General features: G+C 51.7%; 1 protein-coding gene across 20 annotated transcripts in view; it reads right to left on the bottom strand.

Annotated features, from left to right (window-relative positions):
• GTF2IRD1 (GTF2I repeat domain containing 1) overlaps nucleotides 1-12,810 on the bottom strand; it is a 148,700-nt gene that overhangs the window by 47,802 nt on the left and 88,088 nt on the right. For all 20 annotated transcript variants that reach the window (XM_047421058.1, NM_001199207.2, XM_047421064.1 and 17 more), the window contains exons 15-17: nucleotides 10,002-10,049; nucleotides 8,995-9,060; nucleotides 7,518-7,701 (exon numbers count right to left, since the gene is read on the bottom strand). In XM_047421058.1, the coding sequence (XP_047277014.1) occupies nucleotides 7,518-7,701; nucleotides 8,995-9,060; nucleotides 10,002-10,049 (298 nt within the window). The remainder of the gene's footprint in view (nucleotides 1-7,517; nucleotides 7,702-8,994; nucleotides 9,061-10,001; nucleotides 10,050-12,810) is intronic.

The following is a 12,810-nucleotide window of genomic DNA, read 5'->3' as shown; positions in this document are numbered from 1 at the left end:
CATTTTGGGAGGCCGAGGAGGGCAGATCACTTGAGGTCAGGAGTCTGAGACCAGCCTGGCCAACATGGTGAAACCCGTCTCTACTAAAAATACAAAAATTAGCCAGGTGTGGTGGCAGGTGCCTATAATCCCAGCTACTTGGGAGGCTGAGGGAGGGGAATGGCTTGAACCCAGGAGGCAGAGGTTGCAGTGAACTGAGATAGCACCACTGCACTCCAGCCTGGGTGACAGAGTAAGACTCCGTCTCAAAATGAAAGAAAAGAGTAGAAACAGTCGGGGCCCACTACGAAGCAAGAACTCCAAGCTTCTGGAAAGGTCTGAGATCTACGGCTCACGTCTGAGAGCTGCTGTGTTACTGCAGTCGGAAGCACCAGTGACCAAGCCCAGCTCTGTATTATGCTAATGTCTTTAGCTCCACAGACTCCAGAAAGCCCTGTCCAGACATGAGTCAACCTTCTTTGTCATACAGCACTGCTTCTGAAGGCCCCATCTTCAGCACAACTTGTCCTGTTAGAGCAAGCCTGTTGTGGGGCTGGGGTTTGTGGTGGGTAGAGGACACTGGGAAAATCATGCTGGCCAGAAGGGGGCTGTCGGGGGATGGCAGGGTAGGCCATGGAGCAGAGAGGTAATGAGCTCTCTGGAGAGGTAATGGGCCTGGAGAGGTAATGAGCTCTCTGTCACAGGGGTAATCAAGCAGCAACTCCGAGGAGTCTCTGCCTGGGAGTGAGCCCAAAGGCCAAACTCTCAGGGAGGGCACCCCTGGGGTCCCCAGTAGATGAGGATTTGGTGCCCGCTCTGGCGGTGGGCATCTCTTAGGCTTCTGTACAGTGCCAGGCACAGAGCTGGGGTCACGGGGCCAGGGCTGGGAGGGGAAGCATAGCCCTGCCTTGAACCACAGTCTCAGGAGCTAGAAAAGGCTTCGGACTGCATTTAGGCCCCTCCTCTTTATGGGAGAACTCAGGTTCTGAAAGGGGAAGTGACTTCCCAGCAGTAAACTTAGAGAGGCAGAAGCTGGGCAGAGCCCCTGAGTCCCAGGCCAGAGTAGCGACAGTGCTTCCCCTTAAATAGCACAGCCGGCTGCCAAGGCCACAGGGAGTAACAGGAGGAGCTGGCCTCAAACCCACCAGACGGCCTCTCCCGTCGGCCACTGCACTGACCTGTCTCCCTTTCCAAATGACAGGTGGAGAAAGCCATCGTGACTTTAAAAAGTGCTCAAGGCTGGGCATGGTGGCTCAACCTGTAATCCCAGCACTTTGGGAGGCTGAGGCAGGGGCATCGCTTTGAGCCCAGGAGTTGGAGACCAGCTTGGGCAACATAGCGAGACCCCTTCTCTACAAAAAATGTAAAAATTAGCCAGGTGTGGTGGCGTGCCCCTGCAGTCCCAGCTACTCAGGAGGCTGAAGCAGGATTGCTTGAGCCCAGGAGTTTAAGGCTGCAGTGAGTTATGATTGTGCCACTACACTCCAGCCTGGGCTAAAGAAAGACTTGTCTCTTAAAACAAATGCTCATGGCCAGGCATGGTGGCTCACGCCTGTAATCCCAGTTACTCGGGAGGCTGAGGCAGGAGAATCGTTTAAACCTGGAAGGTGGAGGCTACAGTGAGCCGAGACAGCACCACTGTACTCCAGCCTGGAGTGAGACTCTGTCTCAAAAAAAACCCACAAAAGGCCAGGCATGGTGGCTCACGCCTCTAATCCCAGCACTTTGGGAGGTCAAGGTGGATGGATCACTTAAGGTTAGGAGTTCGAGACCAGCCTGACCAACATGGTGAAACACCGTCTCTACTAAAAATACAAAATTTAGCCAGGTGTAGTGACATGCGCCTGTTATCCCAGCTACTCAGGAGGCTGAGGCCGGGGAATCGCTGGAACCCGGGAGGCGGAGGTTGCAGTAAGCTGAGATGGTGCCACTGCACTCCAGCCTGGGCAATAGAGTGAGTGAGACTCTGTCTCAAAAAATAGAAAACAAACAAACAACAACAAAAAAACCAACCCACAAAAAACAAAAAACCAATGCTCATGAGCACAAGGTGTCTCTGCACAAAGCCATAAAAAATGTCATTCATGAGGACTTGCTGTTGAATTGGCACCTGACCTCAAGCTGCCCGGGTGCCCCTAGTTTATGGTTTGAGGGAATAGGCATAGAAAGCAAAAACAAAAATAAAAACAAACCAGAATGAGACACTGTCTCTTAAGACTTTTTAAAAAATAAAATAAAATTCAAACTCTTTAAGCTGGCCCAAAATCCATGTGATCTGGCTCCTGCTACCTTTTTATTTATTTATTTTGAGAGAGAGTTTTGCTCTTGTCGCCCAGGCTGGAGTGCAGGGGCGCGATCTCAGCTCACTGCAACCTCTGTCTCCTGGGTTTAAGCAATTCTCCTGCCTCAGTCTCCTGAGTAGCTGGAATTACAGGACCCCCTCACCATGCCTGGCTAATTTTTGAATTTTTAGAAATGGGGTGTCACCATGTTGGGCAGGCTGGTCTCGAACTTCTGACCTCAGGTGATACACCCTCCTCAACCCCCACAAAGTGCTGGGATTACAGGCGTGAGCCACCTCTCCTGGCCTATTTTTCTTTTTTATAGAGATAGGGTCTCACCATGTTGCCTAGGCTGGTCACAAACTCCTGAGCTCAAGCAATCCTCCTGCCTCAGCCTCCCAAAATGCTAGGATTACAGGCGTGGGCCACACGCCTGGTCCCCTGCTACCTCTTGGGCCTCAACCTCACCATCCTTCCCTCACTCACCCTGTACCAGCTGCAAGGGCACCTTGCAAGCTTTCAAACACCCAAGCACGTTGTTGCCTCAGGGACTTTGCATGACTTTTTCTCTGTCCCAACAGTCTTTATTTTTATTTATTTATTTTTTGAGACAGAGTCTCCCTCTGTCACCCAGGCTGAAGTGCAATGGCACAATCTCGGCTCACTGCAACCTCCACCTCCCAGGTTCAAGTGATTCTCCTGCCTCAGCCTCCCGAGTAGCTGGGATTACAGGCACACGCCACCACACCCGGCTAATTTTTGCATTTTTAGTAGAGACGGGGTTTCACTATGTTGGTCAGGCTGGTCTCGAACTCTTGACCTCGTGATCTGCCTGCCTCAGCCTCCCAAAGTGCTGGGATTACAGGTGTGAGCCACCACGCCTGGCCTGCTCCCACACTCTTTATGCACCTGGCTGGCCCTCTCCCTTCATTGGGTCACCGCTTCAATGTCACCTTCTTATCCAGGTTCCTCCTGTCCCTCTCTCCCCCTCACTCTGCATTATATCCTGTCACAGCAGTTATCTCTACCTGACATGACATTTTGATTTTGTCTGGGTGACATCGGCAACTCCAGGGCAGGACTTGGTGGCATTTACTGCTGGGCTGCAAGCCCGGGACCTGGCAGGCATCCAGGATGGTTTTTTAGTTTGTTTGTCTCTTTGTGTTTTATTTATTTATAAACCCTATATTTATTTATTTTGAGAAGGAGTCTCGCTCTGTCGCCCAGGCTGGAGTGCAGTGATGTGATCTCAGCTCACTGCAACCTCCACCTCCCAGGTTCAAGTGATTCTTGAGCCTCAGCCACCCGAGGAGCTCGGACTACAGGTGTGCACCACCACGCCCAGCTAATTTGTGGTACTTTTAGTAGAGATGGTGTTTCACCATGTTGGCCAGGCTGATTTCAAACTCTGGAACTCAAGTGATCCATCTGCCTTGGCCTCTCAAAGTGCTGGGATTACAGATGTGAGCCACCATGCCCCGGCCTCTCTTTGTATTTTTAAAGGGACGAGGTCTTGCTCTGTCACCCAGACTGGAGTGCAGTAATGCCATCATAGCTCACTGCAGCCTGGACCCTCTGTGCTTAAGCTATTCTTCCGCCTTCCGCCTCAGCCTCCCAAGTATCTGGGACTACAGACACACACCACTGCACCTGGCTAATTTTTTAATTTTAAAAATAAAATAGAGATGGGGTTGCTATGTTGACCAGACTGGTCTCGAACTCCTGGCCTCAAGCGACCCTCCTGTTTTGTCCTCTCAAAGTGCTGGGATTACAGGTGTGAGAATTTTTAAAATTTTTTGTAGAGATGGGGTCTTGATACATTGCCCAGGCTGCTCTCAAATTCCTGGGCTCAAGCGATCCTCCTATCTGGGCCTCCCAAGGTGTTGGGATTACAGGCGTGAGCCATCACGCCTGGACGGAATGTATTTTTAAAAAAATTAAAAAAAAAAAATTTTCGAGACAGGGTCTTACTCTGTCACCCAGGCTAGAGTGCAGTGGTGCAATCAGGGCTCACTGCAGCCTCGACCTCCTGGCTCAAGCGATCCTCCCACCTCAGCCTCCCAAGTAGCTGGGACTACAGGTGCACACCACCAAGCCTGGCTAATTTTTTTTTTTCCCTAGAGATGGGGTTTCACACATTGCTCAGGCTGAGAATTTGTTGAAAGAAGCCCTCCTTCAACCAGTACAGTACTATACATGTATATAGTAGAGCCAATTACTGTACTATAATTACACATATTCTCTTGTGAATCTTTATTTCCCTGTTTTCACACATCTGATGGGCTATATGTCTATCATGAGTTTATCCTTAAACCACCTGAAATGTGATCTTCCCTTTTTATTTTTTTGAGACAAGAGTGTTACTGTCCCCCAGGCTGAAATGCAGGAGTGCGATCTCGGCTCACTGCAACCTCTGCCTCTCGGGTTCAAGTGATTCTCCTCTTTGCCTCTTGAGTAGCTGGGATTACAGGTGCATGCCACCATGCCTGGCTAATTTTTTTTTTTGAGATGGAGTTTTGCTCTTGTTGCCCAGGCTGGAGTGCAACGGCGTGATCTCGGCTCACTGCAACTTCTGCCTCCTGGGTTCAAGCCAATTCTCCTGCCTCAGCCTCCAGAGTAGCTGGGATTACAGGCACCTGCTACCACGCCCGGCTAATTTTGTATTTTTTAGTAGAGATGGGGTTTCTCCATAGTGGTCAGACTGGTCTCAAACTCCCAACCTCAGGTGATCTGCCTAACTCGGCCTTTCAAAGTGCTGGGATTACAGGCGTGAGCCACCGCACCCGGCCTTAATTTTTGTATTTTCAGTAGTCCTGATCTCAAGTGATCTGCCCACCTCAGCCTCCCAAAGTGCTGGGATTACAGGCATGAGCCACCATGCCTGGCTCAATCTTCCTTTTAATATGCCCAGACACACCGGGCATGTGGCTGCATTCATCCTGGCCTGCTGAAGCCTTTGCTTCTACTGCACGAATCATGACTCTTGCTCTCCAGCCCTGTTGCATAGCTTTTTGCTATCTGCTCTTTGTGTGTCATGGAGCAGCAGCCTCCCTCCTGGCACAGAGCAGGCCCTGCAGTAGAGCTCCCTGTCCCAGCGGATCTCCTCGCCACTGTATGAAAAATGACGCTGTGAGTCTCCCAGTTTGAGAACTATCTATTCTCCTGGAGGAACAAACCCTTAAGAGTCTCTTCTTTCTTGCCACTTTCAACCAAACCAAGCCTATTTTTTTTTTTTTTTTTGAGACAGAGTCTTGCTCTGTTGCCCAGGCTGGAGTGTCGTGGTACGATCTCAGCTCAGTGCAACCTCCGCCTCCCGGGTTCAAGTGATTCTTGTGCCTCAGTCTCCTGATGACAGGGAGATTACAGCTGGGATTACAGGTGTGAGCCACCACACCTGGCTAATCTGTGTATTTTTAGTAGAGATGGGATCTCACCATGTTGGCCAGGCTGGTCTCGAACTCCTGACCTCAAGTGATCTGCCTACCTTGGCCTCCCAAATGCCAGCTGGGATTACAGGCATGAGCCGTCATGCCCAGCTGTAAACCAAGCCTAAATATGTGCTATTACAGTAACACAGAAGTAACAAACACAAAATGGAAATATGATCCTCCCATTCCCTGGTTTTTTTTGTTTTTGAGGAAGAGTCTTGCTCTGTTACCCAGGCTGGAGTGCAGTGGTGCAATCATAGCTCACTGGAGCCTCCAAACCCCTCCTGGGCTTAAGTGATCCTCCCACCTCAGCCTCCTGAGTAGCTGAGATTACAGGTGTGCACCATCATGCCCAGCTAATTTAAAATTTTTTTGTAGAGATGGGGTCTTGTTATGTTGCCCATGCTAGTCTTGAACTCCTGGCCTCAAGTGATCCTTCTGCTTCAGCCTCCTGAGTAGCTGAGACTACAGGCATGTGCTGCCACACCAGAGTTTAAAAAAAAAAATTATAGTGACACAGTCTTGCCATGTTGCCCAGGCTGGTCTTGAACTCTTGGGCTCAAGCAATCCTCCCACCTCAGCTTCCCAAAGTGCTGGGATTATAGGCATGAGCCACTGTTCCTGAAATCCCCCAACCACATTTTTACTCAATAACTGCCACCACCTTCTCCAAAGGGACTTTTTTTTTTTTTTGAGACGAAGTCTCGCTCTGTTGCCCAGACTGGAGTGCAGTGGCACAATCTCCGCTCACTGCAAGCTCCACCTCCCAGGTTCATGCCATTCTCCTGCCTCAGCCTCCTGAGTAGCTGGAACTACAGGCACCCACCACCATGCCTGACTAATTTTCTGTATTTTTTTTTTAGTAGAGACGGGGTTTCACCGTGTTAGCCAGGATGGTCTCGATCTCCTGACCTCGTGATCCACCCGCCTCAGCCTCCCAAAGTGCTGGGATTACAGGCGTGAGCCACCGCGCCCGGGCCCAAAGGGACTTTTTATCCCAGCTGGGCACACAGGGTATGTCCATGGGTGCTGTCCCGGGCCCTCATTGGCAAAAACACAACACGCTCAAGGAAACAGAAACAGCCTGTAGAAGCCACTGCTGGTCCTTCCCATTCTGGGACGACAGGGCATTGCTCCCAGCCCCCGGCCCAGGACACCAACACGCCAGCCTGGAGAACCCGTGAGCTGATGGGACGTTCCCATTCTGCATCTGGGGAAACTGAACACTGCTCTCCTGAGACTGCGAGAGGGGTCAGTTCGGTGGCTTTGGGTCTGGCAGGCCTGGGGAGCCTCATGTCTGCCAACTGCAGCCAAACCCCATCTAACACCTTGCTGTCAAAAAAAAAAAAAAAAAAAAAAGAGAGAGAGAAAAGAAAGGCCTGGTGCCGTGGCTCACACCTGTAATCCCAGCACTTTGGGAGGCTGAGGTGGCCGGATCACTTGAGGTTGGTAGTTCAAGACCAGCCTGGCCAACATGGTGAAACCCTGTCTCCACTAAAAATACAAAAATTAGCCGGGCGTGGTGGCGCGCACCTGTAGTCTCAGCTACTCAAGGGGCTGAGGCAGGAGACTCGCTTGAAGCCAGAGCGGAGGTTGCAGTGAGCCAAGTTCGTATCACTGTACTCCAGCCTGGGAGACAGTGAGACTCTGTCTCAAAAAAAAAAAAAAAAAAAAAGGCTGGGCATGGTGGCACACACCTCACACCTGTGGTCCCAGCTATTCAGGTGGCTGAGGCACAAGAATTGCTTGATGGCAATTTGGTGCTGCTCCTGCCCCTTGGTGCTGAGCAGGGCCGGTGCTGTCTCCCATGGACCTGGTTGGGCCTTACCTCTTGATGACAAACTGGATGCTGTTGCTGGCCTCCAGAATCTTCCGGAGCTTGGCGATCCCGAAGCAGTTGGGCCTGCGGAGGGAGATGCCTTCAGGCAGTCCCACCACAAACAGCTCCTCCGGGTGCATCAGAAACTTGGAGTACGGCACCTTGACGGGCTCCGAGATGCCAATGGCCTTGGCTGCAGAGACATGGCTGCTGTAGGGCCACCCGGTGCCACAGGGCCAGGAGCCTCAACCCCTGTGTCCCGTGCCTGTGTCGGGGGGCAAAGCTGCCAGAGCCCTTTTGAGGGCCTGCCAGCTTTCCTGGGATGTGGAAAGAGTGGCCCCCCAGCCTGCAGGAAAGGAACCTGGAGTTCAGAGGGGACGTGACTTGTCTGAGGTCACAGAGCCACTGAACAGCAGAGCCAGGGGATAGGAACTCAACCCAGGGTTACCCCAAGGCCCACGCTGGGTCCATGCCCTCATGCCCAGGCAGTACAGAAGCCACCACTAATGGCTGCTGAGATTCGGCATTGCTTCCCCGAGTCCACTGGGCCTCGCCCTTCCAGTAAGGCCCCCCGAGTGTCCCTCCTGCCACCATAAGCAACCCCACACGCTGCTGTGGCACAACACCACGCCTTGGAACGAACCCGATCTCTGCCACTGAGTGGTGTGGGGCCTTGGACGAGTCACACCCCTTTACCAGGCCTCAGTTCTCCTCATCTGTAAAGTGGGTCTTAGGACACGGGGATTTTGTGAGATGGGATACAAGAACACAGGGGGCCGGGTGCAGTGGCTCAAGCCTATAATCCCTGCACTTTGGGAGGCCAAGGTGGGTAGATCGCTTAAGGTCAGGAGTTCAAGACCAGCCTGGCCAACATGGTGAAGCCCTGTCTCTATTAAAACTACAAAAATTAGCCGGGTATGGTGGCAGGTGCCTGTAATCCCAGCTACTCGGGAGGGTGAGGCAGGAGAATTTCTTGAACCCAGGAAGCGCAGGTTGCAGTGAGCTGATATTGCGCCACCACACCCCAGCCTGGGCAACAGAGTGAGACTCCGCCTCAAAAAAAAAAAAAAAAAAAAAGAAAAACATGGGGAATCACCTAGCCTCATGCCCGGCACACCACTGAGGTTATCTTATCTTATTCTTATTATGAGTCTTCTTGAGGACCCTGGATGAGGGTGAGGGCGGAGGGATGAGGGTGAGGGCGGAGGGCTGAGGGCTGGCGACATTACAGGGGAGGGAGTGGCCTCTCCAACCTGCGACTGAGGCAGAGTGTGAGTGAGTGAGCCAGGGAGCCTGAGTGACAGCCTCTCTAGTGTCCCCATCCTCATGATGGGTCCCAGCTCCTCCCTTCCCTCTCTCCCTTGTCCCTGCCCAGAGAACAGCTGGGATGGGAACAGGCAAGGGGATGCGACCAAAGCCCTTCTGCAAACAGGGCGGCTGGAGGGGGGCCGGGATGCCCCCAGACCCTGTCCCACTTCTTGCTCACCGTATCGTGTGTTGAAGAGCAGCTCCACCTGCTTCCGCAGGGGCCGGATCACGTCACCGTGGCTGTCTGGAAGGCAAAAGGCAGTCTGTTGAGGCTGGTTGGTGGCAGCTTCTCGGCTGATGTTCCTGCTCTGCTGGTACCAACATTGGCCCTGTGGTGGGATCTTGGAATGGGGGAAGGCTGGGGCTGGGGCGGTGGGTAACTTATTTCCTCAGAAATGGCACACGCAGACAGGTCCACAATTCCTGGGCTCACATTCTTGTTTGCGAAATCAAATCTAGGGCACCGCCAGCCTGAATGAAGATTTGGAAGGTTCTGTGGACTAGGAGTGACCATGGGTCTTTCTAGGTATGTGACTGAGTGTAGCATGTGATAGAACTAGTGGGTACCCACTAAGCCTGCAAATTGAGCAGGCTGCCACCAGGTGGCAGCGGAACTGTGTTAAGACTTCATGGTTCCTCCTGCCAGGCTGGGTTTGGGGAAGTGACAATTCTCTCCTCTGACACTCACTCATTCCATTCCAGGATACTACAGAGATGAAACAGACCCACCCTCACCCTGGCCTCCCTCTCTCTCTGTCCTACTTCCATTCTCAGCAGGGAGGGAATTCTCACGTTCCTGAGAATGGGCGTGTCTGCTGGACACAAAGCAAATTTTGTGCTTTCAGGCCTCTAATCTACTTGCTCAGATAGAGGAGGCTCAGTTCCCAGTCTTAAAACCTTTGCGCAAAGCAGCAGGGTGTGTAATAAAAACAAAGGCTTGCAATTTTCCTTAGCAGTGGGAACTGCTCTCACCTTTGACCAGGAACTTCCTGGTTCTAGAAGACAAATCCTTAAATCTCCTCCCATATCAGGCAGCCCACAGGATTCCCACCCCCACACCAGGGTGCTGGAGAGAGATGAGGTGGAGAGAACGAAGAGACCCAGAGGCCAAGGGGAGGTGGGCGGCAGGGGAAGAGAGATGGGGTGGGGGTGGGTGTAAAATGTCAGGGGTAGACAGGGCCTCACCCTCCACGGGCCTCTCCTCGGGCCGCGCGTCCTCACTCAGACCTTTGTCTAAAAGAGAACAGAGGATGCCGGGAAGCCACATTCATCATCTCCTAAGCCATGCACTGCCGACGTCAGGCCAGATAGCTGGGGAATGGCAGGCCAGGGGGCCCCAACTCTGAAGCATGGCACCCACTCCAATGGGATCAGGGACCCCGATTCCATACAGGTGCCTACCCTGGCCTTCACACGAAAGCAGGCTGAGATCATTTTGCATGCACCTCCCAAGCTAGTCTGTTCTAGACACTGAGGACACGTGGGAACAAGACAAAGTCCTCGGCTGGGCACGGTGGCTCACACCTGTAATCCCAGCACTTTGGGAGGCTGAGATGGGTGGATTACTTGAGGCCAGGAGTTTGAGACCAGCTTGGCCAACATGGGGAAATGCTGTCTCTACTAAAAATACAAAAATTGGCTGGGCATGGTGGCGCATGCCTGTAATCCCAGCTACTCGGGAGGCTGAGGCAGGAGAATCGCCTGAACCTAGGAGGCGGAGGTTGCAGCGAGGTCATGCTATTGCACTCCAGCCTGGGCAACAGAGTGAGACTCCGTCTCAAAAACAAACAAACAAACAAACAAAAAAACTTCCAGGTGAGAATACAAGGGACAATTTGTTTAAAATAGTCATCACATGAATTAGCACATAGATAAAAACATACAAAAGGAAGATGCTAGGAATACTAGTGGTTGCCTGAGGAGGATGTGACTGGAGCTTTTTCCTGGGTCTTGCTCTGTTGCCCAGGATGGAGTGCAGTGGAGCAATCACAGCTCACTACAGCCTCAACCTCTTGGGCTCAAGCTATCCTCCCTCCTTGGCCACCTGAATAGCTGGGACTACAGGTAGGTACCACCACATCCAGCTAATTGTTTTTTTTTTTTTTTTTTTTTTTTGTAGAGATGGGGTCTTGCTATGCTCCCCAGGCTGGTTGTAAACTCCTGGGATCAAACGATCCACCCGCCTCAGTCTCCTCAATAGCTGGAACTAGAGGCATGTACCACCACGGCTGGCTACTTTTTAAAATTTTTTGTAGAGACAGGGTTTCGCCATGTTGTCCAAGCTGGTCTCGAACTCCTGGGCTCAAGCGATCCTCCCACCTTGGCCTCCCAAAGTGCTAGGATTACAGACATGAGCCACTGCACCTGCTCAATGTATTACACAGTTCTGTATCATTTAACTGTTTCATATCAAATATGTGTAAACAGAAAAAGCACACAAATGCAAAATCCTCTAATCCATGGTGGTCCTGGACATCTCAGAATTTTCTTTTTTTGTTGTTGTTTTGTGCTTTTTGAGACAGAGTCTCGCTCTGTCACCCAGGCTGGAGTGCAGTGGTGCAGTCTCAGCTCACTGCAACCTCCACCTCCTGGGTTCAAGCGATTCTCCTGCCTCAGCCTCCTGAGTAGCTGGGATTACAGATGTGACTACCATCAGAATTTTCTTTTTCTTTTTTTTTCTTTTTCTAGACAGAGTTTCGCTCTTGTCACCCAGGCTGAAGTGCAATGGTGCGATCTTGGCTCACTGCAACCTCTGCCTCCTGGGTTCAAGTGATTCTCCTGCTTCAGCCTCCCAAATAGCTGGGATAACAGGTGCGCACCACCATGCCCAGCTAATTTTGTATTTTTAGTGGAGACGGAGTTTCGCCATGTTGGGCAGGCTGGTCTCGAACTCCTGATCTCAGGTGATCCCGCCTCGGCCTCCCAAAGTGCTGGGATTATAAGTGTGAGCCACCACACCCAGCCAGAATTTTCTTAATTCATCAGGTTTGACTGGGGTGCCTGGGAAGGAACCCTGCATGGGAAACATGTTTTCCAGCCCAAGGCTGTGTGACCTTGGGGAGGTGGATGAGCCTTGCTGAGCCTGTGTTCTGCTCTGTGAAACAAACAGCAATGATGCTGTGCTCATCCAAGGCCCCCAACCCCTGCAGTGCCACCCAGCCTCTGGCTGTGAGTGCTGCATGGAGGCTTCTATGGTGTTTTCTAAGGCCACTGCAAACCCAGCTGGGCACCGTGCCAATTCCTTAGGCGCCACGCCATGCTGTCATCTCAGCCTGAGCTTGGCGTCAACCAAACTCTCTGGATAGCTACGCCACAGACTGCTGTCAAGTCTGGTCATGCCCAGTTTGTGCTGGACAAATCATATTTTTTTCTTCATTACCAAAGTATTAGAAGTGCATCATAACTGATTTAGAAAATAAAAAACGCAAATCATTTTGCCTAACACTGCTACTGTTTTGCTCTACCCTTGTTTGTCCCCAGTGATTACGTTTGCAACACAGTTGTAAGCAAAGCACAATCAATTTTTCCTCTTTTGCTTAGTGTTACATCCTAAGCATCCTGCCTTGTTGCCTATTTTTGTTTGCTTGTTTTTGAGATAGAATTTCACTCTGTTGCCCAGGCTGGAGTGCAGTGGCGTGATCTCGGCTGCAAACTCCGCCTCCCAAGGTTCAAGCGGTTTTCCTGCCTCAGTGTCCCAAGTAGCTGGGACTGCAGGTGCCTGCCACCATGCCCAGCTAATTTTTTTTTGGTCTTTTTAGCAGAGATGGGGTTTCACTAGGTTGGCCAGGCTGATCTTGAACTCCTGGCCTCAGGTGATCTGCCTGCCTCGGCCTCCCAAAGTGCTAGGATTACGCAATTCTTCATGCCCAGCCTATTTTTGTTTTTTTTTTTTGAGATGGTGTCTTGCTGTGGCACCCAGACTGGAGTGCAGTGGCACCATCATAGCCCACTGCAGGCTCCAACTCCTGGGCTCAAAGGATCCTCCTGCCTCAGC

Source organism: Homo sapiens, chromosome 7 (assembly GCF_000001405.40).
Source record: "Homo sapiens chromosome 7, GRCh38.p14 Primary Assembly".
Taxonomy (NCBI): domain Eukaryota; kingdom Metazoa; phylum Chordata; class Mammalia; order Primates; family Hominidae; genus Homo; species Homo sapiens.
Note: the sequence above shows the minus strand (reverse complement) of the source record. Positions and strands in the feature narration are given on the sequence as shown.